General features: G+C 36.3%; 1 annotated feature.

The window, feature by feature from the left end:
* Window positions 4,177-4,701: an enhancer, noted in NCBI's record as "OCT4-NANOG hESC enhancer chr7:61639146-61639670 (GRCh37/hg19 assembly coordinates)". NCBI's record gives its function as "activates a minimal SCP1, AML or CMV promoter by ChIP-STARR-seq in naive H9 embryonic stem cells {active_cell/tissue: H9 hESC(naive)}" and the evidence as "EXISTENCE:reporter gene assay evidence [ECO:0000049][PMID:30033119]".

The raw sequence follows: 5,000 nt of genomic DNA, 5'->3' as shown, positions 1-5,000 counted from the left end.
CTGTGTAGTTTTTATGTGAAGATATTTCCTTTTCCAAAAGAGGACTCAAAGCCCTCCAAACATCCACTTCCAGATTCTTCAAAAAGTGTTTCAAAACTGCTCAATCAAAAGAAAGGATCAACTCTGTGAGATGAGTGCCCATATCACAAACAACTTTCTCAGAATGCTTCTGTGTAGTTTTATGTGAAGATATTTCCTTTTCCACAAACGGCTTCAAAGCCCTCCAAATATACACTTGCAGATTCTATAAAAAGAGTGTTTCCAAACTGCTCAATCATAAGAGGTTCTATCCAGTGTGATGAATGCACACATCACAAAGAAGTTTCTCAGAATGCTTTTCTGTAGTTTTTATTTGAAGATATTTCCTTTTCCTCCATAGGCCACAAAGGGCTCCAAATATCCACTTGCAGATACTACAAAAAGAGAGATTCAAAACAGCCCAATCAAAAGATAGGTTCCACTATCTGAGTTGAATGCACACATCACAAAGAAGCTTCTCAGAATTCTTCTGTGTGGTTTTTGTGTGAAGATATTTCATTTTCCACAGTAGGCCTCAAAGCTCTACTAATATCCACTTGCAGATTCTGCCAAAAGGGAGATTCAAAACTGCTCAATCAAAAGATAGGTTCGACTCTGTGAGTTGAATGCACCTCTCACATCGAAGTTTCTCAGAATGCTTCTGTGTAGTTTTCATGTGAATATATTTGCTTTTCCACAGTAGGCCTCAAAGCGCTCCAAATATCCACTTGCAGATTTTACAGAAACAGTGTTTCAAAACTGTTCAATCAAAAGAAAAGATCAACTCTGTGAGATGATTGCACACATCACAAAGAAGTTTCTCAGAATGCTTCCATGTAGTTTTTATGTGAAGATATTTCCTTTTCCACAATAGGCCTCAAGGCACTCCAAACATCCACTTGCAGATTCTACAAAAAGAGTGTTACAAAACTGCTCAATCATAAGATACGTTCAACGCTGTGAGATGAATGCAAATATCACAAAGAAGTTTCTCAGAATGCTTCTGTTTAGTTTTTATTTGAAGATATTTCTTTTTCCACCATAGGCCGCATAGGGCTCAAAATATCCACTTGCAGATTCTTCAAAAAGAGAGATTCAAAACTGCTCAATCAAAAGATAGGTTGGACTCTGTGAGTTGAATGCACACATCACAGAGAAGTTCCTCAGAATGCTTCTGTGTAGTTTTTATGTGAAGATATTTGCTTTTCCACAGTAGGCCTCAAAGCGCTCCAAATGTCCACTTTCAGATTGTCCAAAAAGAGAGACTCCAAACTGCTCAACCAAAACATACCTTCAGTTCTGTGAGTTTAATGCACACATAACAAAGAAGTATCTCAGAATATTTCTGTGTAGTTTTTAGGTGATGATATTTCTTTTCCAAAATAGGCCTCAAAGTCCTCCAAATATCCACTTCTGGGTTCTATCAATAGAGTGCTACATATGTAACTAACATGCACATTGTGCACATGTACCCTAAAACTTAAAGTATAATAATAAAAAAATAAAAAAAGAATAAAAAAATAATAAAAAATGAAATAAAAAAGGAAAAAGAGTGCTTCAAGCCTGCTCAATCAAAAGAAAGGATCAACTATGTGAGGTGAATGCACACATCAAAAAGAAGTTTCTCTGAATTCTTCTGAGTAGTTTTTATGTGAAGATATTTCCTTTTCCACATTAGGACTCAAAGCACTCCAAATAACCACTTGCAGATTCTACAAAAAGAATGTTTCCAGTCTGCTCAATCATAAGAAATGTTCAACTCTGTGAGATGAATGTGCACATCATGAAGTAGTTTCTCAAAACGCTTCTGTGTATTATTTATGTGAAGATATTTTCTTTTCCACAGTAGGCCTCAAAGTGCTCCAAATATCCACCTGTAGATTCTTCAAAAACAGTGTTTCAAAAGTGCTCAATAAAAAAAAGGTTCAACTCTGTGAGATGAATGCACACATCACAAAGTAGTTTCTCAGCATGTTTCTGTATAGTTTTTATGTGAAGATATTACCTTTTCCACAATAGACCTCAAGGCACTCCAAATATCCACCTGCAGATTCTACAAAAAAAGTGTTTCAAAACTACTCAATCATAAGATAGGTTCAACGCTGTGAGTTGAATGCACATATCCCAAAGAAGTTTCTCAGAATGCTTCTGTCTAGTTTTTATGTGAAGACATTTCCTTTTCAGCTATAGGCCTCAAAGTGCTCCAAATATCCACTTGCAGAATCTACAGCAAGAGAGATTCAAACTGCTCAATCAAAGCATAGGTTCAATTCTGTGAGTTGAAGGCACACATCATGAAGAAATTTCTGAGAATGCTTCTGTGTAGGTTTTATTTGAAGATATTCCCTTTTCCACCACAGGGAGCAAAGAGCTCCAAATATCCACTTGCAGATTCTACAAAAAGAGAGATACTAAACTGCTCAATCAAAAGATAGGTTCAACCCTGAAAGTTGAATATACAAATCATAAAGAAGTTTCTCAGAATGCTTCTGTGTAGTTTTTATGTAAAGATAATTCCTTCTCCACAATAGGCCTCAAAGGACTCCAAATATCCACTTGAAGATTCAACAAAAAGTATTTCAAAACTGTTCAATCAAAAGAAATGTTCAATTCCGTGAGTTGAATACACACCACACAAAATTTTTTCAGAATTCTTCTGTGTAGTTTTTATGTGAAGATATTTCCTTTTCCACAATAGGTGTAAAAGCTCTCCTAACATCCACTTGCAGATTCTGCAAAAAGAGAGATTCCAAACTGCTCAATCAGAAGATAGGTTCAACTCTGTGAGTTGAATGCACACATCAAAAAGAAGTTTCTCAGAATGCTTCTGTGTAGTTTTTATGTGAACATATTTTGCACAGTAGGCCTCACAGCACTTTAAATATCCACTTGCAGATTCTACAAAAAGAGAGTTTCAAAACTGTACAATAAAAAGATAGGTTCAACTCTGTGAGTTGACTGCACACATAACAAAGAAGTTTCTCAGAATGCTTCTGAGTAGTTTTTAATTGAAGGTATTTTCTTTTCCACAATAGACCTCAAATGGCTCCAATTATCCACTTGCAGATTGTACAAAAAAAGTGTTTCAAAACTGTTCAATCAAAAGAAAGATTCAACTCTGTGAATTGAATGCACACATGACAAAGAAGTTTCTCAGAATGTTTCTGTGTAGTTTTTATGTGAAGATATTTCCTTTTCCACAAAAGGCCTCAAAAGGCTCCAAATATCCACTTGCAGATTGTACGAAAAGTGTTTCAAAACTGCTCATCAAAAGAAAGGTTCAACTCTGTGAGATGAATGCACACATCACAACGAAGTTTCTCAGAATGCTTCTGTGTAGTATTTATCTGAAGTTATTGGCTTTTCCACGGTAGGCCTCAAAGTGCTCCAAATATCCACATGTAGATTCTAGAAAAAGAGTGTTTCGAAACTGCTCAACCGTAAGATAGGTTCAACCCTGTGAGATGAATGCATACATCACAAAGAAGTTTCTCAGAATGTTTCTGTGTAGTTTTTATTTGAAAATATTTCCTTTTCGACCACAAGCCACAAAGGGCTCCAAATATCCACTTGCACATTCTGCAAAAAGAGAGATTGAAAACTGCTCAATCAAAAGATAGGTTCACCTCTGTGAGTTGAATGCACATATCTCAAAGAAGTTTCTCAGAATGCTTCCGTGTAGTTTTTATTTGAAGATATTTCCATTTCCACCATAGGGTGCAATGAGCTCCAAATAACCACTAGCAGATTCTACAAAAAGAGAGATTCAAAACTGCTCAATCAAAAGATAGGTTCAACTCTGTGAGGTGAATGCACACATCATGAAGAAGTTTCTGAGAATGCTTCTGTGTAGTTTTTATTTGAAGATATTTCCTTTTCCACTACAGGGCACAAACGGCTCCAAATACCTACTTGCAGATTCTACAAACAGAGAGATTCTAAACTGCTCAATCAAAAGATAGGTTCAACTCTGTGAGTTGAATGCACACATCACAAAGAAGTTTCTCAGCATGCTTCTGAGTAGTTTTTATGTGAAGATATTTCCTTTTCCACAATAGGCCTCAAAGGGCTCCAATTATCCACTTGCAGATTGTACAAAAAGAGTGTTTCAAAACTGTTCAATCAAAAGAAAGATTCAACTCTGTGAATTGAATGCACACATCAAAAAGAAGTTTCTCAGAATGCTTCTGTGTAGTTTTTATATGAAGATATTTCCTTTTCCACAATAGGCCTCAAGGCACGCCAAATATCCACCTGCAGATTCTACAAAAAGAGTGTCAAAACTGCTCAATCGTAAGATAGGTTTGACGCTGTGAGTTCAATGCACACATCATGGAGAAGTTTCTCAGAATGCATCTGTGTAGTTTTAATTGGAAGATATTTCCTTTCCACCATAGGCCACAAAGGGCTCCAAATATCCACTTGCAGATTCTACAAAAAGAGAGATTCAAAACTGCTCAATCACGAGAGGCTGGACACTGTGAGTTGAATGCACACATCACAAAGAAGTTTCTCAGAATGCTTCTGAGTACTTTTTATGTGAAGATATTTCCTTTTCCACAATAGGCATCAAAGTGCTCCAAATGTCCACTTGGAGATTCTCTAAAAAGAGAGATTCAAAACTGCTCAATCAAAGTATAGATTCAACTCTGTGAGTTGAATGCACACATCAAAAAGAAGTTCCTCAGAATGCTTCTTTGTAGTTTTTATGTGAAAATATTTGCTTTTCCACAGTAAGCCTCAAAGAGCTCTAAATGCCCACTTGCAGATTCTCCAAAAAGAGAGATTCAAAACTGCTGAATCAAAGCATAGGTTCAACTCTGTGAGTTGAATGCACACATCATGAAGAAGTTTCTGATAATTCTTCTGTGTAGTTTTTATTTGAAGATATTTCCTTTTCCACCATAGACCGCAAAGGGCTCCTAATATGCACTTGCAGATTCTGCAAAGAGACAGATTCAAAACTGCCTAATCAAAATATA

The sequence above is a fragment of the Homo sapiens genome, chromosome 7 (genome assembly GCF_000001405.40).
Source record: "Homo sapiens chromosome 7, GRCh38.p14 Primary Assembly".
Lineage (NCBI taxonomy): Eukaryota > Metazoa > Chordata > Mammalia > Primates > Hominidae > Homo > Homo sapiens.
The sequence above is the reverse complement of the archived record's forward strand: the minus strand, read 5'-3'. Positions and strand labels throughout refer to the sequence as shown.